This window comes from Homo sapiens, chromosome 7 (assembly GCF_000001405.40).
Source record: "Homo sapiens chromosome 7, GRCh38.p14 Primary Assembly".
Lineage (NCBI taxonomy): Eukaryota > Metazoa > Chordata > Mammalia > Primates > Hominidae > Homo > Homo sapiens.
In genome coordinates this window covers 71,336,394-71,362,723 of record NC_000007.14, presented here as the reverse complement: position 1 = coordinate 71,362,723, position 26,330 = coordinate 71,336,394, and the positions used below count along the sequence as shown (strand labels likewise).

At 41.4% G+C, this 26,330-nt stretch overlaps 1 protein-coding gene across 4 annotated transcripts in view; it reads right to left on the bottom strand.

The window, feature by feature from the left end:
- GALNT17 (polypeptide N-acetylgalactosaminyltransferase 17) overlaps window positions 1-26,330 on the bottom strand; it is a 581,456-nt gene that overhangs the window by 350,876 nt on the left and 204,250 nt on the right. The window lies entirely within an intron of this gene.

Below are 26,330 nucleotides of genomic sequence, written 5' to 3'. Positions count from 1 at the left end.
ACACAAATGGATTTGTTTTCTTGGGGCACTTTTGCCAAGAAAAATGCCACTAAATCAGCATCTTGGCCATGAAAAAAAGCAACAGCAAGTCTTCATCTGAATCACACAGCCACGTGGGATGCGTTCCCTTAGGCCTGTGCACAGGCATTAAGGAGGCAAAATGGGATCAATGAATTTCTTTGTTAATCTTGATATTTGCAGGAAGCCAGCGAACCAAGCACTCTGCAAATCACCAGCTTTAATCTTCAGAATTACTTATACTGCCATTTAGGAGAATTTTGTTTTCTGGGGAGATCTGCACACAGCAGGCGGCAAACATTCTAATTGCTGTTAAGTACATTTGGTGTAATATGTTGGGGGAAATGTAGTCTTTGAATCAGTTAAGCATGAACACACATGCTCAGGGGCAGAATGTAAGTTTGTACACAAAGAAGTGATTTAGTCACAAAGACAAAATCTCATACAAAGCCGGGCGCGGTGGCTCACGCCTATAATCCCAACATTTTGGGAGGCCGAGGCAAGTGGATCACTTGAGGTCAGGGGTTCGAGACCAGCCTGGCCAACATGGAGAAACCCCGTTTCTACTAAAAATACAAAAAATTAGCCAGGCGTGGTGGCAGGCGCCTGTAATCCTAGCCACTCGGGAGGCTGAGGCAGGAGAATCTCTTGAACCCAAGAGGCAGAGGTTGCAGTGAGCTGAGACTGCACCACTGTACCCCAGCCTGGGCAACTGAGGGAGACTCCATCTCAAAAAATAAAAATAAAAAGTAAAAATCTCATACAGGAAAAGAACCTGCCTCCTCCAGCCATGAACAGCACCTAGCCCAGCCCCAGCCGTAGTTCAATCACATAAACAAACGCCCAAATTGTGCTCAACCTTTTATCTTCCTGCCTGCCCACTCTCTCTCTCTCTCTGTCTCTCTCTCTCTCTCTCTCTGAGTTCATTTGCAGTCAAGATGCAATGCTATTTATAACACATATTGTGCTGGAGTCACCAGGATTTGCAACCTGAAGCTGAAGACATTCAATCTATGCAATAGAAATAAAACTCAACGAAACTCAACATCACAGCTATTTTATTCTGCCAAGTATTATAGCCAGACACATATGCTTCTCCTACTAGATGAAAAAACTCCTCGTAGCCAGGGGGCAGGTCTTGTGCATTTTCACATTCCTTAAGCTCTGAGCTCTGTGTCTACTATATAGTAAATATACAATAGGTATTTGTTGAACTGAATTGAAGATGACTTTCCAAGAATTAGTGAGAAAGAACAGAGAGGAATATCGAAAGGGGAAGAAACCTTCAAGGCGGTCTCAGATAATAGAAATGGTGTCCCTGGGTTTCAAGTGCTAAAACTTCCCATGAGAAGCACACTGATAAAGTCTGTAGGCACCCATATCACAGGTAAAATGCAAGACTCAAATGTTGTTGATAGTGGTTTTTTATTTTTTATTTATTTTGTATTTCAATTGACACCCCCCCAGGTGTTTCTTATGCCCATGAAGTTTTGAGAGTAACTGGTATAGATAGTAAAAACTGTAAAAGCAGATATAGGAATGACCACTGTTGGCTACAGCACTGCATACCAGAAATTCTGGGAACTTTGGGTAACTCATATAATAATAATGAGCCCCCAGGATGTCATTCAGTTACATATTTATTCAATAAGAGCTTGTTGATACCAATAAGTAGCTAGTCAAATAAGTTTTATCAGGATTATTTGTTTCTTGATGTGAAATACAGCTACGAGAAAGTTATTATTATTTTTAAGGACGTCTTTTAAGGAGCAAGGCGTCTTGTTCTGTCACCCACACTGGAGTGTAGTGCCACGACCTTGGCTCACTGCAACCTCCGCCTCCCGGGTTCAAGCAATTCTCGTGCCTCTGCCTCCCAAGTAGCTGGGATTACAGGGACCCGCCACCATACCCAGCTAATTTTTGTGGGTTTTTTTTAGTAGAGACGGGGTTTTGCCACGTTGGCCAGGCTGGTCTTGAACTCCTGGCCTCAAGTGATCTGCCCATCTTGGCCTCCCAAAGTACTGGGATTACAGGCATGAGCCACTGCACCCGCTGGCTATCAGAAAGTTTTAAAAACATCTGTATCTGTAATTTACACACTCTTATTAGGAGAGAGGAACAATGGCAATGTGATATCTGAAATTTAGTAAAACCAAAGCATTTCTTGTGTCTGTAATTATATATAGATCAGGCCAGTTTGTCGTGGCTTGTATATCTGCAGTAATTAAAGTGATAACCGAAGTTCGGTATCCATAGTCCCAGGAACTTGGAAAATGACTTTTTCATCACAAGTTGGTTCTTCCTTCTGGGTTTCTTGCTTCAGTGACTCATCTGAACTGGAAATCACATGTTTTCCTTTTATTTAGTAGTTATGATGGTAGAGATCACATCTTATCCGAGTTAGTAGTCATAATTTATATCTGGTCGATCGGATGAATGAATTTTTGAACAAATGAGTTCACTAGAAGTCCTTATAAAACAGCTAAGATATCAAATTGTATTCAGTAGGTTTACTTCAGTACTGTGGGATTTTCATCATATTTGGTTGGATCATGTGAGATTGTTGATATTTGGCCACAAATAGCAATTTCATACAGTGCAACCTAATACTTCAGTTCTTTGAAACTTGGAACCTGGGAATCTGTACTTCAATAAGAGCCTCAAGGGATTTTAATGTAGCTGTCTACACTGATGTAGGTAAGTATTCCCATCCACATAAGCCTTCAATCTAGTATCTCCCCACTTAAAACCAAGTGGGGAGATCGTGGAGACCACATCTCATCTGGTTGAAACCTTACATGGTTTCAGCAATATAAACGGAAATCAACCCTGGATTGGATTATCATGAATTTTTATTTATTCGTTCATTTCAGGCAGGTGGATCACCTGAGGTCAGGAGTTTGAGGCCAGCCTGGCCAACATGGTGAAACCCCATCTCTACTAAAAGCACAAAAATTAGCCGGGTATGGTGGCAGGTACCTGTAATCCCAGCAACTTAAGAGGCTGAGGCAGAAGAACTGCTTGAACCCAGAAGGTGGAGGTTGCAGTGAGCCGAGACGGTGCCACCGCACTCCAGCCTGGGTGACAGCAAGATCTGTCTAAAAAAAAAAAAAATTATACCCACTGCAGTAGTTATATGCTATGTTTTGGATATTTGACACGCCATATTGAAATCTGATTCCCAAAGTTGGAGTCGGGGGTCTACTGGAAGGTGTTTGGGTCATGGGGCCGACCCCTCATGGATGCCTTGGAGCTATCCTCATGGTAGTGGGTTCTCTACTCTGTGAGTTCTCAGGAGAGTTCCCTGGGAGCTAATTGTTGAAAAGAGCCTGGCACCCGGCACCTGCCACCCCTCTCTCCCTTCCACTCTCACCATGAGATCTCTGCACGCTGGCTCCTCTTCACCCTCCTCTGAGAGGTGGCACAGCCTCAAGCATTCGACAGAACCTGAGCAAATGCTGGTGTCATGCTTCTCGTACAGCGTGTAGAACTGTGAGCCAGTTAGACCTCTTTTCTTTATAAAGTATCCAACCTGAGGTATTCCTTGACAGCAACACAAACAGACAAAGGCACTGTACTTGTGACACTAACAATGGTCCCTTTGAACTACAAATCTTGTAAATCATTGCAAATCAACAAAATTAATGAATGGAAGCAAATCCCAGAATTTTGGGAGGCCAAGGCAGGAGGATCACTTGAGGTCAGGAGTTTGAGACCAGCCTGGCCAGCATGGCGAAACCCCATCTCTACTAAAACTCCAAAAAAGTAGCCGGATGTGGTGGTGGGCGCCTGTAATTCCAGCTACTCAGGAGTCTGAGGCAGGAGAATCACTTGAACCCAGGACACAGAGGTTGCAGTGAGCCAAGATTGTGCCACTGCACTCCAGCCTGGGCAACAAGAGCGAAACCACGTCTCAAAAAAAAAGAAAAAGAAAAAGAAAAGAAAAGAAAAAAGAAAGAAAAGCAAACTTATGATAATCAGTGAAAATTCTGGGTTCCACATATCTCTGAACACGTTTTACAACATAATAATAAATACAGTTAAAAGAACAAATTACAACAAAGTAGAAAACCACAAACTACCAGTGAGCTTTCTCTCTCCCACTCCTATTGCAAACCTTCATACAGAGCGCAAGGAAAATCTAGGAAAACTGTGGAACCAGAAAGTGGGAAGCTGCTGCTAAGAGTAGGACTGAGCTAAAAGAACCATCAGAAGGGGAAACTCAGCTTAAGTGTGAAAATATGGAAAACGAGCTCTGGTAGATAAGATCAGGTTCTGTAACAAACAACTTTATTTATTTATTTATTTTTTGAGACAGAATCTTACTCTCTCGCCCAGGCAGGAGTGCAATGGCGCAATCTCGACTCACTACAACCTCCGCCTCCGGCGTTCAAGTGATTCTCCCCTTCAGCCTCCCGAGTAGCTGGGATTACAGGCACCTGCCACCATGCCTGGCTAATTTTTGTATTTTCAGTAGAGATGAGGTTTTGTGTCCGCAGTTGGTTCCCGCCTGTGGGCTCGTGGTCTCGCTGACTTCAAGAATGGAGCCGCGGATCTTCATGGTGAGTGTTATAGCTCTTAAAGGTGGCACCGACCCAAAAAGTGAGCAGCAGCAAGACTTATTGTGAAGAGCCAAAGAACAAACCTTCCACAGCATGGAAGGGGACCCGAGCGGGTTGCCGCTGCTGGCTGGGGTGGCCAGCTTTTATTCCCTTATTTGTCCCCTCCCATGTTCCATTTCTGTCCAATCAGAGTGCCCTTTTTTCAATCCTCCCTGCGATTGGCTACTTTTAGGATCCTGCTGATTGATGCGTTTTACAGAGCACTGATTGGTGCATTTTACAAAGCTCTGATTGGTGCATGTTATAATCCTGATGCTAGCTACAGGGCGCTGATTGGTGCATTTTACAATCCCCTTAAAAGTTCTCCAAGTCCCCACTCAACCCAGTAAGTCCAGCAGGCTTCACCTCTCAGTTTCACCATGTTGGCCAGGCTGGTCTCGAACTCCCGACCTCAAATGATCCACCCACCTTGACCTCCCAAAGTGCTAGAATTACAGGCGTAAGCACCTAGCCAAAGACGGGACTTTAAATCTGCATGACTCAAGGCATTGTTTCTGGGAGAGAAGAAAGTTAAAAAGTATGGGGAGGCAGCCTTTAAACACTGAGTGGTGAATGGGAAAATATGCAAAAGGGGAAAACTTAGTGTCCTCTTCAAAAGCAGTCCCTCACCTTTTTGAGACCAGGGGCCAGTTTCATGGAAGACAACTTTTCCAAGGGTGTGGGGGGATGGGGAATGGTTTCAGGATGAGACTGCTCCACCTCAGATCGTAAGGTATTAAATTTTCATAAGGAGCGTGCAATGCATGCACAGTTCACAATAGGGTTCGCGCTCCTATGAGAATCTAATGCTGCCGCTGATCTGGCAGGAGGTGGCACTCAGGCGGTCATGCTCACTTGCCTGCCACTCACTTCCTGCAGTGCGTCCCAGTTCCTAACAGGCCACAAACTCGTACCAGTCCATGGCCTGTGGGTTGGGGGTCCCTAAATAAGAGAAAACCCAGAGGCCAGATGACACAACATATTCCCTATCGCAAACACACACAAAAAACACTCCCACTGGCCAGGCATGGTGGCTCATGGCTGGAATCCCAGCACTTTGGGAGGCCGAGGAGGGTGGATCACCTGAGGTCGGTCAGGAGTTTGAGACCAGCCTGACCAACGTGGTGAAACCCTGTCTCTACTAAAAATACAAAAATTAGCCAGGCATGGTGGTGCGTGCCTGTAATCCCAGCTACTTGGGAGGCTGAGGCAGAAGAACTGCTTGAACCCAGAAGGCGGTGGTTGCAGTGACTCAAGATGGTGCCACTGTACTCCAGCCTGGGTGACACAGTGAGACACCATCTAAAAAATATATATATATGCTCACTGCAGAATTTATATGCTATGTTTTGGATATTTGACACGCTATATTGAAATCTGATTCCCAAAGTTGGAGGCGGGGCCCACTGGAAGGTGTTTGGGTCATGGGGCCGACCGCTCATGAACGCCTTGGAGCTATCCTCATGGTAGTGAGTAAGTTCTCTACTCTGTGAGTTCTCAAGAGAGTTCCCTGCGAGCTAATTGTTGAAAAGAGCCTGGCACCTGCCACCCCTCTCTCCCTTCCACTCTCACCATGCAATCTCTGCAGGCTGGCTCCCCTTCACCCTCCTCTGAGAGTGGGCACAGCCTCAGGCCTTTGACAGAACCTCAGCAAATGCTGGTGTCATGCTTGTATAGCCTGTAGAACTGTGAGCCAGTTAAACCTCTTTTCTTTATAAATTATCCAACCTCAGGTATTCCTTGACAGCAACACAGACAAAGGCACCGTACTTGTGACACTAACAGACAATGGTCCCTTTGAACTACAAATCTTGTGAATCATTGCAAATCAACAAAATTAATGAATGTAAGCAAATCTCAGCACTTTGGGAGGCCAAGGCAAGAGGATCATTTGAGGACAGGAGTTTGAGACCAGCCTGGCCAACATGGCGAAACCCCATCTCTACTAAAACTCCAAAAAAGTAGCCTGATGTGGTGGTGGGCGTCTGTAATTCCAGCTACTCAGAGGCTGAGGCAGGAGAATCGCTTGAACTCAGGAGGCAGAGGTTGCAGTCAGCCGAGATCGCGCCACTGCACTCCAGCCTGGGTGACCAGAGCAAGACTCTGTCTCAGAAAAAAAAAGGAAGCAGACTCCGTATATACAAAGTAACTATATCGAGAAGAAAGTGAAAACAGAAAATCAGAATGCCTCATGTGATAGAAATACACACTGCTCTCAGAAAACAGGCAACACATCTTCTCAACCTCAGGGGAACAGTTGTAAAATAGAATCTGCTGGGCATGGTGGCTCACACCTGTAATCCCAGCACTTTGGGAGGCTGAGGTGGGTGAATCCCTTGAGCCCATGAGTTGAAGACCAGCCTAGCCAACATGGAGAAACTCTGTCTCTACCAAAAACACAAAAATTAGCTGGGCATAGTGTTAGACGCCTGTGAATCCAGCTACTCGGAAGGCTGAGGCAGGAGAATTGCTTGAACCTGGGAAGCAGAGGTTGCAGTGGGCCGAGATCATGCCACTGAACTCCAGCCTAGGTGACAGAGTGAGACTCCATCTTAAAAAAAAAAAGACACTCTCTGATCACTATGCAATAAAATTTAAAATTATTAATAATGTTTTTAAAAAGTTATCCATCTGCAAATTTCAAAAACCTACTAAACCTGTCTTGAGTGACAAGGTAAATACAAACCGAAGTTAAAGCATTTCTAAAAAATAATGGTAATGAAAACACCACATATCACAATCAGTGGGAAGTTTTAAGCATTAAGAAGAAAAACATTCAAAGCCTTAAAACCTTTTAGCAATAAAAATACTTGAATTACATTTCCAACTTAGAATGCTTTTCAGAAAGGAAAACAACAACAAAGTAAGTCAAAAGAAAATACAAGGAAGGCAATAATAAACATAAAAAGCAGAACTCAATAAGTCAGAGAATAGAAAAATACAAGATCTTGAATAAATCAAAATTCTGTTTTTTAAAACATAATTAACAAAGTAGACCACATTTAACTAACTTATGGGAAAAAAGAGAAAGCACAAATACATAAATAAGAAACCAAAGGGGGAAATAATCATTGAAACAAATAACTGTTAAAAATAAAAATAAAGACTCATTTGCAGATCCCTATACAAATAAATTTAAAAGCCTAGATGTAATGGATAATTTCCTAGGGAAAGGCAATTTGCCAAGGTTGACATCATTAGAGACAGAAACCTTAAACAGAGCTATTTCCTCAGGAAAAAAATTGCAAAAACCATCAAGAAACTACCCCATAAAAAACATCAGGCCCAGATGGTTTCACAGGTGACTTCTACTAAACATTTAAGAACCAGATAGTCATAATGCTCCATAAATTGTTCCAGAGGATTGAAAACCTAATTCCTTTTGTAATGTATTAATAATTAAACTTCTTAAGGAAAGCAGAGAGAGAGAGAATGAATTACAAATATTGATGCACAAGTTGTAAATAAAATATTAGTGAACAGAATCCAACATCACATTAAGAAAATAATACACCATAGCCTAATGGAATAAATTCCATTAATATAAATTTGGTTTAACATTAAGAAATCCACTATTATAATGCAAAATATTTATAGACATAGGAAGAAAGAAATTGATGATTTTCGGTATAGTTACTGAAAAAACTGAAATGAGTTTGGAAAATTCAACACCCATCCTAATAAAAGAACCCTCAAGATCATTAAAACTAATGAATACTTTCTTAACACAATAAACTATACCATAGCCATAGAGATAGCATCTTACTTAATGAGAAACACTAGAGGCACTTCTGTCAAAGACAGGAAAGGCAAGGGTTCCCACTATCTCCACTAATTCAACATTGTCCTGGAGGTATTAGGAAACATAATTGACTACCATGCAGACACCATCTGATATAGTACGGGTCTGTGTCCCCACCCAAATTTCATGTTGAATTGTAATTCCTGATGTTGGAGGTAGGGTGTGTTAGGAGGTGACTGGATCATGGGGGTAGTTTCTTACGGTTTAACACCATTCCCCCATGGTACTGTGAGTGAGTTCTCATAAGATCTGGTTGTTTAAAAGTGTGTAGCACCTCCTTCTCTCTCTCTCTTGATCCTGCTCCCACCATGTGAGAAACCTTTCTTCCCCTTCATCTTCCGCCACAATTGTAAGTTTCCTGAGGCCTCCCCGGAGGCCCAGCAGATGCCAGCATCATGCTTCCTATATAGCCTGTGACACCATGAGTCAATTAAACCTCTTTTATTTGTAAATTACCCAGCCTGAGGTATTTCTTTATAGCAATGCCAGAACAGATTAATACACCACATTTAACCCAGGAATCAATATTATCACCACCAGTAATGAGACAAGTAATGAGTGGCTTCTATGTCACTACATTCTTCTGAATTTTTTCCTTCTTCATTAGCTGTTCCTTTCCCTCATGTGTGTCCTGATAAGATGCAACAGATGCAACACCATTTTTGTAGTATTCCTGCCACAAAAGCACATTCTGAATCTAATTCTGATGAAATATTGGACAAATATGAATTAAGAGGCATTTTAAAAAATAACTGGACTGTCATCTTCAAAAATGTCAATGTCATGAAAGACAAAGACTAAAGGGCTGTTTCAAAATAAAACATGATAAATGAATGTAATACATGATCTAGGACTTTCTTTTTCTGTAAAGGACATTATTGAGACAACTGGTGAAATGTGGATAGGCAATACTATCATATTGTCCTGTGGTTATGTAAGAGAATGCCCTTGTTCTTGGGTTGGTCACACTGAAGTATTCAGAGACAAAGGGGCATCATGTCTGCAACTCACACTCAAATGATTCAGAAAAAAATAGATATACACATGGAGATATATAAATATTGTAAAATGTGAACCTTTAAGGAAACTGGATAAAGAAAATAGAGAATTTTTTGTAGTATTCTTGCAACTTTTCTGTAACTCTTATGTTATGACAAAATGGGAATTTTATAAGGAACAATAATAATAATAATAACCTCCTTTGACCCCCACCCCCCAAAGCCCTCAGGCTAGCATGCCTCTTCTCCCTTTCACAATAAAATTCATCAGAGTAGTCATTTTGCTCTCTCATTTCTTCCCTCCCATTCACTCCTTAATCAACCCCAATCAGGGTTGAATATCCTTGTTGAGGTCATCAATGAACTTCATGTTGCCAAATCTGCTGAACGATTCTGGCATCTCACTATCGCTCATCACCAGTAACCACTGCTTCCTCCTGGAACACTCCTTTTCTGGCTTCCACGTCACTTCTTTTTCCTGGATTTCTACCTGCTTCATTAGTTGTTCCTTCTCCACATCCTTTGCTGAATTTCTCTCCTCTACCCACGTTCTAAATTTTGGAGTGGCACAGCACTCACTCCTGGGCTGCTGCCACATCTCCAGCTCTCTCTCCTTAGTGATCTCAGCTTTGATGGTCACGTCTATGTTGATGCCTTCAAAGGTCTATCTCCCAACCCCTATCTCTCTCTCAAGCTCCAGATTCATAAATTGTTCAACCATCTATTTGATATCTCCCAATATATGACTAAACATCAAATCAAACTTAACAAATCCCAAGTAGAATTCTTAAAGAGCCCTCCAAATCTGTTTTTCAGTTTTACCACTTCAGTAAATGGCACTACCGTGCACCCATATGTTGCAACCTAAAACCCAGTAGTATTCCTTGATGACCTCCACCATAAATCTCTACTTCTTCCCATCTTACTATGTATATTAGTTCTTTTTCATGTTGCTGATAAAGACATACCTGAGTCTGAGTAATTTATAAAGTAAAAGAGGTTTCATGGACTCACAGCTCCACATGGCTGGGGAGGCCACACAGTCATGGCAGAAGGTAAAAGGCACTGCTTACATGGCAGCGGCAAGAGAGAATTAGAGAGTCAAGTGTAATGGGTTTCCCCTTATAAAACGATCAGATCTTACGACACTTTATCACTACCATGAGAACAGTATGGGGGAAACTGACCTCATGATTCAATTTTCACCCACTGAGTCCCTCTCACACATGGGAATTATGAGAGCTACAATTCAAGATGAGATTTGGGTGGGGACACAGCCAAATCACTAGGCACATATCACTAGGCACACCCTAGTCGGAATCACTATCATCTCCTACTAGCACTATCCTCCAAACTGGACTCCTTACATCTCTTCTGCACTCTGCAATCCATTCTCCAAACATCATTCAGAATGACCTTCTAAAAACATACCCCAGATCAGGACACTTCGCTATGTCAAATCCCCAGTGGCTACCATGACCTTTAATATCTGTTCCCTAGGCTGCCATAGCAAAGTACCACAAAATGGGGGCACTACAACAACAGAAATTTATTCTCTCATGGTTCTAGAGGCCAGAAGTCCCAAATGAAGGGGTCAGCAAGGGCATGCACCCTCTGAAGGCTCTAGAGGAGAATCCTTCCTTGCCTTCCCTACTTTTTGGAGATTGCTGGCAATTCCCAGCACTCCTTGGCTTGTGGATGCTCCATTCCAATCTCTGCCTGTCTTCACTTGGCCTCCTTCCTTCTGTCTCTGTCTTAGTCTCCGTGTTTTCTCCTCTTAAGATACCAACCATCTTGGGGATTTAGGGAGCACTCTAATCAAGTATGCCTCACTTTAACTAATTACATCTGCAAAGACCCTGTTATCCACATAAGGTGACCTGAGGTTCCAGATGGACTTGAATTTGGGGGTATATTATCAACCCAGTATATCACTTTTGTTCCCATTGAAATAAATCCCAGATTCATTGCCCACAATCCCACATGCTATGGTTCCTACCTCCCTTCCATCACCCTCAAACAATTGGCCAGTATCTGCTATCAGTTCCTAAATCAAGCCCATTCCAAACTTAGGGTTTTCTAGGCACTATTCTTTCTGTCCAGAGAGGTTTTCTGACAGAGGCTTTATTTACTTATGTTCTTTGTTTGTTTGTTTGTTTGTTTGAGATGCAGTTTCTCTCTTGTCACCCAGGCTTGAGTGCACTGGCTCAATCTTGGCTCACTGCACCCTCTGCCTCCCAGGTTCAAACAATTCTTGTGCCTCATCTTCCTGAGTAGCTGGAACTACAGGTGTGTAACACTATGCCCAGCTAATTTTTGTATTTTTAGTAGAGATGAGATTTTGCCATGTTGGCCATGCTGATCTTAAACTCCTGGCCTTAAGTGATCCACCAGCCTTGGCCTCCCAAAGTGCTGGGATTACAGGCATGACTCACTGCGCCCAGCCGCTGCCAGAGTTTTGAGCTGCTGTTTTATCCTCATCTCTTCTGCCTCTTCAATTCACCTTCTCTAAAGTACACTCTTGTTTCCATTTACTCTCTACAGTTGTCCCCCAGTATCTAAGGGGGATTGGTTCCAGAACCCCCTCATGGATACCAAAATCCAAGGATGCTCAAGTCCCTTGTATAAAATGGTATAGTATTTGCGCATAACCTACTCACATCTCCTGGATACTTTAAATAATCTCTAGATTACTTATAATATGTAATACAATGCAAATGCTATGCAAATAGTCATTATACTGTAGTGTTTTTTTATTTGTATTTTTTATTGTCGTATTGCTATTTTTTATTTTTATTTTTTTTCTAGTATTTTTCATCCTTAGTTGGTTGAATTTGCAGATGTAAAACCCAGGGATTTTAAGGGTCAGATGTATGTTAGCACCTGTTCATTTACTTCAAAACATTTATCACAATCTATAATTAGCTCGTGTTTATTTTTCCCAGTTTATCATCTGTCTCCCCCTTATAACCTCAACCTCCAACATAGTGCCTGGTGTGTGGGAGCTGATTGACGAGTATTTACTGAGTGAATGAATAAAATCAAATGAGTACAAGGACTGTGTCATACACATCTGTTATAGCTCCCATAGTACCTGTGCATGGCTTTCTACAAAACCCTAGAAAACATTTGTTGAAATCATAAATAAATTCCTTTCTTTATTTTTATTTAACTCATAAATAATTTCCATCAATTTTATCCATGCCACAATTTGTCCTTACACAAGAATTCCCCTGACCAGACTCTGTGAGGCAGAAACAACAGCTCAAATTCTGCCACCAGGGTTCCAAATATTTATTTAGAATTATGTTTCTAGTACCGCACAGCCCAAGACTCTTCAAACTTCTGATTATCTAATATTGCCTAAGCGCAACCATGTGCAAAGTGGGGCTGCATTCATCACAATGAAGATAAGTCTATTTAAACAACTTCAAGATCATGTTTATGAATAAGATTGTGAAACTAAAAACTTCATTTGTGTTCATAAAACACTTGAGAGCTACAGAGAGCTCAATATTATTGTCAAGGGTCAAGTGTCCAGCAAAGGGCTGCCCATGGAGACATAATCACATTGCTTCATCATTGGGGCACGTACCATTAAGGAATTTTCAAGGAATAATCACTTGTAGTACATCTACTTAAAGCAATTTCGTATTTATTTATTCAATTGAATTATTTATGTTATTCATAATGAAACGAAACTCCAAACAGCATTGGTTCCGTCACGTCTTCCTTTGCTTTTATCTGGTTTACCGCATGTGACTATTTTTATGCAAATGAGGTTATGATGACATTAAACATTTTCTACTGATTTTCCAAGAACAAATATGTTCCCTCCATATGCCACAGTCTTCTTTTTCCTGCATCCATCCTCAGAGTTCTGTTGGGTGATCGGAATTTCTTCTAAATTAACTAAAGGGACATGCCATCTGTAATACTGATGAGCCTTTCTCCCTGCACAGCGCACACGTGGCTCTCCCATTAATACTTGAATTTAGTCCATTTCACCCATTCCACCAGAAGCCTGATTTATAACCCCAGCTCTTACAAGCCTGTAAATCTCAGCTTGTTACGAAAGCACCGTGGTTCTCTCCTGCTGCCACTTGGAGAATGTTTACTGTACTCACAAACCAAGAACAATGAAGAACTCCACACATAAACAGGCGTTGTGATTGCAAAGGCATTTGCCTCTATTGATTATCCCCAGGGCTGAGAAACAAATGTTTCCCGTACTGCAAGTATTTCACGTAACTATCTGTCCACTGAACGAATCGGAGTATAATTTGGCAAACTGCCTAAAGTGAGCTTGTATAAACCAGCTTGGGTTTCCTTGTAGGGTGTGGGGATGTGTGTGTGCCCATGTAGACGCCTGGAGGCAAGTTTAGGATGGGTTGGTTTTAACTCAGTGCACTGCTAGAGTGAGGAAGCAATGGACTAGGCAGACAGGATAATCCCCTAGAAACACAAAGGTTGTTTAAGTACCAACTCTCAAGTCCCCAGTAACAGTGTGAGGATTTCTGAATATTAGATGAGATGAGCTAGCCCCTCCTGCAGCTCTCATCTGTCTACAATCCTTACTTAAACTATCAAAGGCCAGCAGAAGCAACAACAGCCAGTACTGTAAATCTCAACATTGGTTTGATTCAAACTAATAAATCGCGAATTCCATGTCCCATAGCTGCATCTACATCTGGGGAATGTGAACTTGAGAGTCAATGACCCCGGGGGTTATAAACAGGTGACAGAGCAGATCCATTTGCATAAACAGGACAAGGTTGACACTGCTTTCTATCCACTGGTTTCAAATTCTCCATGAAAGACATTGAAACTTGTCCAGAAAGCTCTCTAGAAAGAAACAGAGGGGAATCTTGATGGTAACTTTGTTTTAAACGCATTTCAGGTGAGAATACTTTCAAGTTCCAAGAAAAGATCTAATTAACATTGCCAATTCATAACCTTTGGGGCTGGCAGTGCCTCTAAAAGAAGTGGGAATTCTTTCTTACACAGTTAAGTCTCAAGAGCATCCATTTCTTTTTTTTTTTTTGAGACAGAGTCTCACTCAGTGGTCCAGGCTGGAGTGCAATGGTGTGATCTTGGCTCACTGCCACCTCCTTCTCCCAGGTTCAAGCGATTCTCCTGCCTCAGCCCCCTGAGTATCTGAGATTACAGGCACCCACCACCACGCTCAGCTAATTTTTGTATTTTTAGTAGAGATGGGTTTTCACCATGTTGGCCAGGCTGGTCTCAAACTCCTGACCTCAAGAGATCCACCCACCTCGGCCTCCCAAAATGCTAGGATTACAGACATAAAATGTATTTTTTAATATTCAGTCCTTTTCAAGGAAAAATTACTTCAATATGTGGAAAAAATCAAATCATGAAAAGAGGAAAAACACACATTATACTTTTTTTTTCTTCTGGTCTGACTACTATGGAGGAAGCAGAAGCAGGAGGTAGCTGAGCCCATCCTCCAACTTTCACAAAGTCTCCCATGACCTCAGAACATCCCTAGTGAGGGCTGAATCTTCCTCAATATGTTGGCTGTGGGGAATCCACAGCTGCCCCCTCTGATCCAGGCCTGGGAAGAACCTTATGAAGGAAAATACCCTCCCCAGACTCTCACCATCACCCTGGCATCTGTCTCAGGCTGGACCCTCTGGATTTCTGTGCTGCTTGGGGACAAGGAAATGCCCATTGTCCTAGATTAAAGTTTTCCATGTAAGTGCAAGGCTAAGGATATATCACTTTTCAGTAGATATTTTCCTGAAGATCCTGTCATTTAATGTAAGGTGTTTTAAAGATGATAAGGGGTATGGCCAGGTGTGGTGGCTTGTGCCTGAAATGTATAGGTATATTATTGTGTGAAATGTATAGGTATATTATTCTATACATTTCACGTGGAAAATTTAATCCACACAGCAATTCTATAAAGTAGATATGATTACATCACCATTTTACATATGAGGAAACTGAGGCACAGACAGGTTAAGCAACTTGCCCAAGGTCACATAGCTAGAAAGGGACAAAGCTGAGATTAGAAGTTAGATTTCTGAATCCAGGCTCTTAACCTTCACGTATAACTCTCTCATGAAGGTTTTTAGGTGGCCCAGATATCTTCTTCAGACCTAGGGAATCTGCAAAAGTGGGATGAACATTCACCCATAAGTACTGCAGGAATCATATCACCCTCACACACTAAAGGAAAGGGCACCCCTCAACTTACATACTCCACTCTTCCATCCCATTGCTGCGTGAAGACCTGCGTTAGCAAATAACGTTCCTCCTCGGTATAAACTCTATGGTAAGACATTTCCTAAGCCACATAATATTATACAATTTTTCTTTCCCATGTTTTATTTAAAAAAAAAAATACTGTATGCCTTAAAGAGGGTTTCAACTGTATTACACTACATACTAGGGCCATCACAGGCAATAGCTACTCAAATTTAACATAAAGCTCCTTTGGAATTTTGTTAGCTTCGAAAGAATTGAAAAGTACCAAGAGAGGAAAACTAAAGAAGTAACTCCACCCACCCACCCACCCACCCCCGCCCCCCCAACAGGCAAGATTCCCTAGATAAACTGTCCACTTGCTGTAAGACTCAGAATTTCTTTTCCTTCTGGCAACCCCATCATAGAGGAGAAGGTTCCATTCTGCAGACACAGAAGGTTAGGCAGTTGATGTGGGGACGTCCACAGACCTTGAAGATACACACAGAGCTGGGTTTGAATCCAGGTCCCTGCACTTACTAGCTGTGTGACCTCAGGCAGGTTGCTTAACCTCTCCAAGGCCACCTTGCCTCATTTACAAAAGAAGGGATGGGAATAGCTATTTCAGAGAGCAGTTAAATTTAAATGAGATCAATAAAACATGCCATACAGCGACAAAAACATAAAAGGTAGTCAATAAAAGGGAAAAATTATTGTGGTTAGTGATTCAGGGACACTCCTAAGCATACAGCTACTTATTATTATTACTCATTGGACAGCTACTCTCTGTGTCCATGTGAGTCTGTGAAAAAGAAAGTTTAACATAGAATTTTTGACCTTTTAAAATATATATAATATGTAAGTATAATATATAAATATATATACACACACACTGTCACATGTACACACTCATCTCACTCTGTTATCCAAGATGGGGTGCAGTGGCACGATCATAGCTCCCTGTAGCCTTGGACTCTGGACTCAAGCAATCCCCCCACTTCAGCCTCCCCAGTAGCTGGGACAACAGGCACAAGCCACCATATCCAGCTTTTTTTTTTTTTTTTTTTTAATTTTTAGTAGAGACAGGTCTCACTGTGTTAACCAGGCTGGTCTCAAACTCCTGACCTCAAGAGATCTTCCTGCCTCAGCCTCTCAAAGTGTTGGGATTACAGGCATGAGCCCCCACACCCAGCTGGATTCTTGACTCTTTTTAAGGCACTTTCACCCTATATAAAAACCGACCTGTGAGACACAGGGTATCTATTGTTAGAGGAATGATTCATATAAAAAAAGCTCCACTGCAGCTACTATAATCAGATGTGTCCTTTTCACAGCGGAGGGAAACTTGAGTTGGGTATTGAGCCATGAGTAGATTTGCTCCACTCATTCATTATAAGACCAGGACTCACATACACATACGAGTCACATGCACACAGACCCAACCTAAAATACCCACTGGAGTTGGATGATTCTCAAATACCCATGGTCAGCCCAGACATCATTCCTGACCTCCAGACCACAACATGCCTCTGTTCACTGGGCATGACATGAGGATGCTCCACAGGGTCATCATGCCAGCCGCATCCAAAGCAGACATTGTCGGGATAAAATGGGTTAGAATTTGTTGTGCTGAAAGAAAGAGGAGACTTTCTGAGTGAAGCAAAATGAATTCCAAAGAAACCTGACATCTGGATTTATAAGCAGGAGGCCAAAGGAGAAATTGAAGATAACAGCAGTAGAAACCGCTCATAAATTACCTACATGGTTTGAGAGGAGAAAGCATATCATAAAATTGGTGCGGGGATCTCAGCAGTGGCTTTAATAAGCACAGACAGATTTCTGTGGTCCCTCCCTCACAGTACGAGATAATCGGAAAAGCAGATAATTACTATGCCACAGTGTGATATAGAATGGTATGTCTCAGCAAAAAAAAACAAAAAAAAAAAACAAAAAACAACAACAAAAAAAAAACAGTGGGGGCTTAGAAAGCCTTGCCCAGCTTCTGGTGTCACCAAAGGTTATCTTCTTACAAACACAGAGCCAAATCATAAATAAAGCCAGACAGATTATGTCCTGTGGTTACTCAAGAAAACCAATACTTTGGGAAACGCCGGACAAGCAGAGCTGCTGTCTTCCTTACAAAACGTGAACCCCTACAGCATTCTCTCTCCTGGTTAACAAGATCACTTCCACTCCATCTCCCAAGCTAGTGCACCCACTTCATCCATTTCCAATTAGTTGCCTCATTTTACTAATTCTCTCTAGGATTTTCCTGAATCCAGCTCTTCCACCTTATCCCTGCTTAGTCCTTAGTTTGTTACAGGAAAACAATTGTATAAAAGTAGCACAATAATAATAAAGTGCTTGCTGTATTATTAAAAACACCCCTCTTCTCTCTCTGGCAATGTCTCGCACACAGTTGGCACTCAATAAACGTTGGTAACCATGACTTAATATTTAGCCATCCTGCTACCAGCCTCCATCTTCTCCATTCAATTCTCCACATTTCTGCCACAGTTATCATTATTTAAAAAAAAGAAATTATAATAATAATACCATCCTGACTCTAATCTTTTACTGGCATCTACTGAAAATGTGAAAGTCCCCACCCAGGGCTAGAACATGAGGCACTTCCCAGCCTGGTTTCCTCCTTCCACTCCAAATTTTTCTTCCACAATTCAATCTGGAAACTATTCTCTAGCCAAAAGTTTTCCATTTCCCCTAATCCCAAAATCCAAGAACTGTCCCCTGAGCCATGGAGTGCCTGGAATTGCAATTCCTTTCTTTAAGAGCTTTTGTTTTTTTCCTGTAGTTAATAGTTGCTTTGCTTTTTCACAAGCTGAGCTACTTATCATTGCACTTGCTGTTCTCTCTCTCAAATGCCCTGCCTCCCCTTTAGAGGGAAAACTCCTGCTTGCCAATAAGATCAAGGTCACCTTCTGCCTCCCACAGAATGGCTCACGCCCTTGTCTTACTTTCTAAGGCCCTCTAAAAGTGACCAAAAGGACTATAAATAGCCACCAGCCTCTCCCACTCTCTTTGAAGTCCTCTGGGGCCAAGATGCCTTGCTCTTCTCCAAACTGCTGGCACAGTGCCTGGCAGATTGGAGACTTTAGTCAAAAAATCATTTTTAGTAATTTCTACAAAACCAAGAAAGGACAAGAAGAAGAAAAAAAAAGAAATACAGACCAAAAGAACACCACAGAGAAAATAAGCCTACTTATATACAAAAAGCATAAAATGTAATATATTTAGCACCTCCAAATAAGAGAAAGAGAAGGGTTATTTATAAGATTATTTTGAAAAAGCTCTTCTCTAAAAAGAGGGACAGATCTTTGGAACAAAAGATGCAAACTTGAACCATATTCCAAAATAAACTCTAGAAGGAAGGGTGAAATATAAAAGAGTCATAGAAAAGCAACACAAAACAGAATAGAATATTTATAAGTATTCTGAGGGATAATATCTTTTTACACTTTAAAGCAGGGAAGAAATGAAAATGGAAAGACTGACAGCTTGGGATTCATACAAGTTTAAAATATCTGTCCAGTGGAAGAAAAAAAATAGTCACGGAATTAAAACAAAATGGAAAACAGCATTTTGGAATTCATTTGCCTGAAATGTGACAAACAAATGGTTAATCTCACTGCTACCTAAACATTCATTCATATTTATAAGAAAAACAATTTTCTCAAGTGTAATATAGCAATAAAACAGTAAGAATTAAAGCAACTTGAGGTTCTGTTTAAAATTGCAATGAAATTAGCCTACTTAAAGCTTCTTAAAAACTTGTGAGAGCTGTCTGGGGCTTAACAAAAAGGATCCTATCCATTGGGGAATAATTTCTCTGGAGGAAGGAAACTGCTCAGCCCCAGGCAGCTGCCTCTCCTTACATCTCCAGGGCTCAGATATCAGCAAAGTTGCTTCTACAGGCAAGAGCCTTACAACTCTTTGATGGCTAGGATTAGTTTGCAATGAAGAGAGGTTAATTTGGTAACTTTTGCTGTGGAGCTCAGAATTTACAACAGTCTCTCTGGTTACTGCCTATGGCCTATGGGCTCTCAAATTTATCTCAAAATTCACCTTCAAATTTACCCAACACATAGTGGCCAGAATAATCTAAATGTGATCATATCATTCAAGCTAGTTCTCCAACTCATTCTTCTACTGTACTTTCATCCCACACATCTTGCATTTTTTGGTATAGATTTATATTTATTGTTTAATTGAAATTTTGTTAAAATAAAACATACACAGTCTCCTTCAACTCCTGTAATCTCCATGTTGCTAAATAACAATGATTATGTTAGTATTTCTTGATGTGTAATACACATTTTCAATTGACTTCCTGCTACTGAAGATGTAGATTTAGTTTTCTTACAAACCCCCACCTCACATACACATTTTGCCTCCTCCTTCTTCCAATAATTATACCATAATTTGTGTTTAAATCAATATGAAATATTTACATTTTTATGACTACAATATATTGCTCAGAGCTGAGCTACAGAGTATATGGGAAGTATAGTTTGTTTATTGGAGAGCTTTTGTTTTTTTTCTGTATTAATTGCTTTGCTTTTTCACAAGCTGTTTTGTGTCTATCAGTAATATGGTTGGGATGCATGTCTCAGCCAAATCTCATGTTGAAATGTAATTCCCAGTGTGGGAGGTGGGGCCTAGTGGGAGGTGTCTGGATCATGGGGGTGGATCTCCATAAATGGCTTAGTGCCATCCTCTGGATGATGAGTGAGTTCACATGAGATTTTGTTGTTTAAAAGTGTGTGGCATCTCCCACTCTCTCTCTCTTTTGCTCCCACTCTTGCCATGTGACAGGCTGGCTCACCTTTTGCTTTCAGCCATGACTGTAAGCTTCCTGAGGCCTCCTTAGAAGCCAAGTAGAAGCCAAGCACCATGCTTCCTGGAGAGGCTGCAGAAAAGTGAGCCAATTAAACTTCTTATATTTATAAATAACCCAGTCTCAGGTATTCCTTTATAGCAACACAATGGCCTAACACAATCAGTAAACAGTCCCAAGCTTTTTGAACGAGGAGTTAAGAAAAAATCTTAATGTAGTCACAAACTCTAGGCAATCAAACAATGTTGCCACTTCCCACCTCCTTTAGAGACATACCTCCTGGAGCCCTGCATCCTCCTGCATCCACAGGAGCCTCTAGGAGGTTTCTCTCTAAAGATGTGGGAATAATTGATCTCTTGGTCTGCTACATGGCTGTCACCCTAGAATGTTACCCTGGAGCATCTCTTCATCATCTTCCTCACTTGACTCCTTTGTTTTGCTGGAGCATGTGCTTGAGTAGCTTCCTCAAAACAAATTCAGAGGAGGTAAAATTGTTAAGAGCCTACATTTTTGCGATGGGTTTACTTTGCATTTGCTCCTGGCCCAAAGTATTCTATAGATGACTGTTAAGAGTTCTAAATGGAACATTATTTTTTTCTCTCAAAATTATTTAAGCATTCTTCCATTGTCATCTAATGTTTCTACAGAGGAATCTAATGCCAACTATATGTAATCTGCATTTATTCTCTGAAAGCTTTCAGGACTTTTTCTTCATCCAAGTTGTTTTGAAATTTTAAATTTACATTTCTTGATGTGAGTTTAGTTTTTTTTCTTTTCATGAATTATGTAGGAACTGGGTGGGATCTTCTAATCTGAAAGCTCACATCCTACGGATTCTGGGAAATTGTCTTGCATCATTTGTTTGATGACTTTCTTCTCTCTGTTCTCTCTGATTTTCTCATTAGTGGATGTTGAACCTACTGGACTGATCTAATTTCTTTTGATCTTTCCACTCCTAATTTTCATTTCTTTTTTTCTACTTTTTAGAACTTTTCTCAATGCTGTCTTCCAACTCTTTATTAAATTACTTATCTCCGTTTAATTTTTGTTTTATAAGAGATAGGGTCTTGCTATGTTGCCCAAGCTGGACTCTAACTCCTAGGTTCAAGTGTTCCTACTGTCACAGCCTTCTGAATAGCTAGGACTACAGGTCTAACTTTTAACTTTTAAGATTTATTTTTTATTCTATGATTTATTTTTGTGCAGTGCAGTCTCACTCTGTTGCCCAGGCTGGAGTGCAGTGGCGCAATCTGGGCTCACTGCAACCTCTATGTCCTAGGTTCAAGCAATTCTCCTGCCTCAGCCTCCCAAGTAGCTGGAATTACAAGCATGCACCACTATGCCCAGCTAATTTTTTCTTGTATTTTTAGTAGAGACAGGGTTTCACCATGTTGGCCAGGCTGGTCTCAAACTCCTGACCTCAAATGATCCACCCACCTCAGCCTCCCAAAGTGCTGGGATTACAGCCATGAGCCACTGCACCTGGCCTTATGATTATTATCTTAATATATCTATTTGCTCTTGGTTTATAAACAAAACAAAACATTCTATGATCTCCTAAGTCATTAAACAGAAACAAAGTTTGTTGTTTCTGTTTACTGTTTTCTGTTGTTGTTGTTAACATCTTTTATAACAAAGACTCTACTGAGATGTCTAGTGATCCTGCCTTTCCTTTCTTATTTTAGAGCAGGACTGCTTTATGCAAAAGGATGAAGCCTTACAACTCGCATGCCATACTAATAGTTAATGAGCAGAACCCAGCCATTTTAGGGGTACCACCAGCTGTCAGATCTATCAGCCTTTTCCTTAGGCTGAATAATTTTAAGTGGATTCTTCAAACTCTTGCTTACAGGAGTAATAGAGACTAGAGAGGTAATGGAGCTGGGAAGTCATCCCATTTCATATGCAGCCTTGTTATCCTCTGTCCAAGGCCACCTCTATGAACTATAGTTCATCTTCTCTAGGGAGTAAACCTCCCATATTCTGCCAGATGAGAAAGGGCAGTCTCTGGCTGTGCAGAGTTGAAGAAAGGATCTGGGGACATAACTGCTAACCATCCCTTCTGTTCAAATCTGCTCCCCTCCCCCGGCCATCAGAAATGCCTGTCATCTCCAATTCTTGAGTCTCTAGGGGCTTCTGGCTAGACTGCATTCTTCTGCTCTTACAAACCCCCACCCACCTCATGTGGGAGGTTGGGTCTCAGCTTCACCCAGCTTGCTCTGTCAGTTGCCATTACCATCCTCTTTCCATCTTCCAAAATTTTGTACATGTCTCTCTTCCCTGTGATCATCACCCAACCTGTTGTGGTTTTTTTTCCTTGTAAGTTGCCATTCTCTCTATTCCTTTGCTATCATTTTAATAGGGTTTCAGGAAGGTTCACATGTAAATGGTATGTTCAAGCCATCATGTTACATCACACGGCAATATTGGGCCATGGGTTCCTCCCTGAGTATGCCACGTCATACCCAACCAAGTGTGCTCCTTCTGTTTGTTCTCCCGCCTGGTCCACCCTTATCCCTCTCCCAATTTCAATTTTCCTTTTTTTTTTTTGAGACAGAGTCTCACTCTGTCACCCAGGCTGGAGTGCAGTGGCATGATCTCAGCTCACTGCAACCTCCACCTAACAGTTTCAAGCCATTCTCCTGCCTCAGTCTCCCAAGTAGCTGGGACCACAGGCGTGCACCACCATGCCCCGCTTCTTTTTTTGTATATTTTAGTACAGACAGGGTGTCATCACGTTGGCCAGGCTAGTCTCGAACTCCCGACCTCAGGTGATCCGCCCGCCTTAGCCTCCCAAAGTGCCAGGATTACAGGCGTGAGCCACCACGCCTGGCCCCCCATCTTCAACTTTCTATCCCTTAATGGTCCTTCAAGCATTATCTCAAACAAGAAACTTTCTCAGATCCTCACTGCACATGCTGTGTGAATCTCTAGCCGGCACATACCCTTGTGCTGACCTGATCTGCTGGTATATCTGTCTTCCTCCCTAGACAAGAAGTAAGTAGGCAAGGACTGTGCTTCATCCAAGTGTCTATCTCCAGTGGGGAGAAAACTATCTGGCTCATAATAAGTGCTCAATAATACTTGTTCAACCGGCTCTTTTCCAGTAACCTCGTTTTGAAGGCATTTTCATTCTTATAGAAGTACAAAAAAATAGGGCCATGTTTATTTGCCAATGTCCTAATAAGAAAGGCTAATGAGAGAGCATCAGGAAATAAAAACAGACAGATGTTTTGGAGAGCAAAAGTCCAGGGACACAAAATAGCTTCCAGCAGGGGTGATGTATATTTTCCTAGTGATTCTAAATGAATACATGCTTATTTGGTAGAGAGAGAGATTTAACAGGTTTCTCAGCTAATGCTGCAAATTTAAATCCATTTAAGATAATTTTCTTTATTTTGAATCTATTTTTCTCAGTAACCAAGACACTTAACTGATTTGTACAAAATTCATTTGAGAAAGAAATAATCTACTTCAAGCAAGGACACACTCTAAATAGAAAAAGAGAGACACTACAAATCTAATAGAAAATGGAGAATCTGTTTGAGAAGCGGAGGTGGAGTTCTGCCTGGAACACAGGGGTTTTCTCTCCAGCATCTTGACACTATGTCCATCCTCTTTTGTCTATTTTACAAGCAGAAAATAAGTAATTCTTAAATCTGAGAGCACAAAATAAAGACCTCTCATAATCCAACCAAGATGCACACAAATAGTTTTTAGACAGTGTCTCACTCTCTTCCTCAGGCTGGAATGCAGTGGTGCCACGATGGCTTACTGCAGACTTGACCTCCCAGACTCAGGTGACCCTCAGCCTCAGGAGTAGCTGGGACTATATAGGCATGCACCACCACCACACCTGGCTAATTTATATATATATATATTTATTTATTTTTTATTTATTTATTTTTTTTTTGAGACGGAGTCTCGCTCTTTCGCCCAGGCAGGAGTGCAGTGGCACTATCTTGGCTCACTGTAACCTCCGCCTCCCGGGTTCACGCCATTCTCCTGCCTCAGCCTCCTGAGTAGCTGGGACTACAGGCGCCCGCCACCACGCCCGGCTAATTTTTTGTATTTTTAGTAGATACGGGGTTTTACCATCTTAGCCAGAATGGTCTCGATCTCCTGATCTCGTGATCCGCCCGCCTCGGCCTCCCAAAGTGCTGGGATTACAGGCCACCGCACCTCGCAATTTTTAGGTTTTTTGTAGAGACAATGCTTTGCCATGTTGCCCAGGCTGATCTCGAACTCCTGGGCTCAAGCGATCTGCCCAAAGCGATTGGCTTCCCAAAGGGCTAGGATTATAGATGTGAGCCACCATACTCAGCCCCAAGTTTTTTTGTTGTTGTTGTTTGTTTGTTTGTTTGTTTGTTCTGAGATGGAGTTTCGCTCTGTCACCCAGGCTGGAGTGCAATGGTGTGATCTCGGCTCACTGCAACCTCTGCCTCCCTGGTTCAAGTGATTTTCCTGCCTCAGCCTCCCGAGTAGCTGGGATTATAGGAGCCTGCCACCGCGCCCAGCCAATTTTTGTATTTTTAGTAGAGACGGGGTTTTGCTATCTTGGCCAGGCTGGTCTCAAACTCCTGACCTCGTGATCCACCCTCCTCAGCCTCCCAAAGTGTTGGGATTACAGGCGTGAGCCACCGTGCCCTGCCAGCCTCACGCTTTTTAAAAGGCAAGAATCTCATGCAAAAAAGTGTAAGTTGAAACAATAACCTATCAGTTTGGCATTTTTTACATGCTAGTACCCAGTATTGGAAGGGTCTAGTAAAATTCTAACAAGAGTAGAATTACTATAGATTTTCTGGAGGAAAATATTATAATACGTATCAAGAATCTCCAAAAATATCCCTCTACTATATACCTTTAGAAGTGTGGATTCAGAAAATAAATATCAAATCAAAACATATAAAGATATGAGTGAAAAAATATTCAATAGAATGTTATATATAATAATGAAAAATTGAAAATAACCTAAATTTCCAACAATGGAAACAGATCATCAATAACATCAGAAAATACTCACGATTTAATGTTAAATGAAAAAGGGAAAAAGTGAGATATCATAGGCTCATAATCTGTATAGAAAATAGACTCAAAGACAATACACTAAAACTTCAATAGATGCTGTCCCCAAGGGATGAGATCATGGTGATTTTTTTTTAGAAAAAGGAAAATCAAAACCATAATGAGATACCATTTCAACCAGTCATAATGATTATCATTAAAAAGTAAAAAAAATAACAGATGCTGGAGAGGTTGTGAAGAAAAGGTAATGGTTATACACTGCTGGTGAGAATGTAAATTAGTTCCGCCATTGTAGAAAGCAATTTGGTGAAGCCGCAAAGAACTCAAAGCAGACCCATTTGACCCAGCAATCCCATTACTGGGTATATACCCAAAGGAATATAAATTGTTCTATCATAAAGACACATGCACAGGTATGTTCATTATAGCACTATTCACTGTAGCAAAGAAATGGAATCAACCTAAATGCCCATCAATAGTAGACTGGATAAAGAAAATGTGGCACATATACACCATGGAATACTACGCAGCCATAAACAAGAATGACATCATGTCCTTTGCGGCAACCTGGAGTTGGAGGCCATTGTCCTAAGCAAACTAACTCAGAACAGAAAACCAAATACCACCAGTTCTCACTTATAAGTCGGGGCTAAACGACGAGTACACATGGACATAAAGAGGGGAACAATAGACATGAGGCCTACTTGAAAGTGGAGGGAGGGAGAAGGGTAAGAATCAAGAAACTATCTATGGTGTTATCTGGGAGATGAAATGATCTGTACGCTGAACCCCTGTGACATGCAATTAACCTATATAACAAA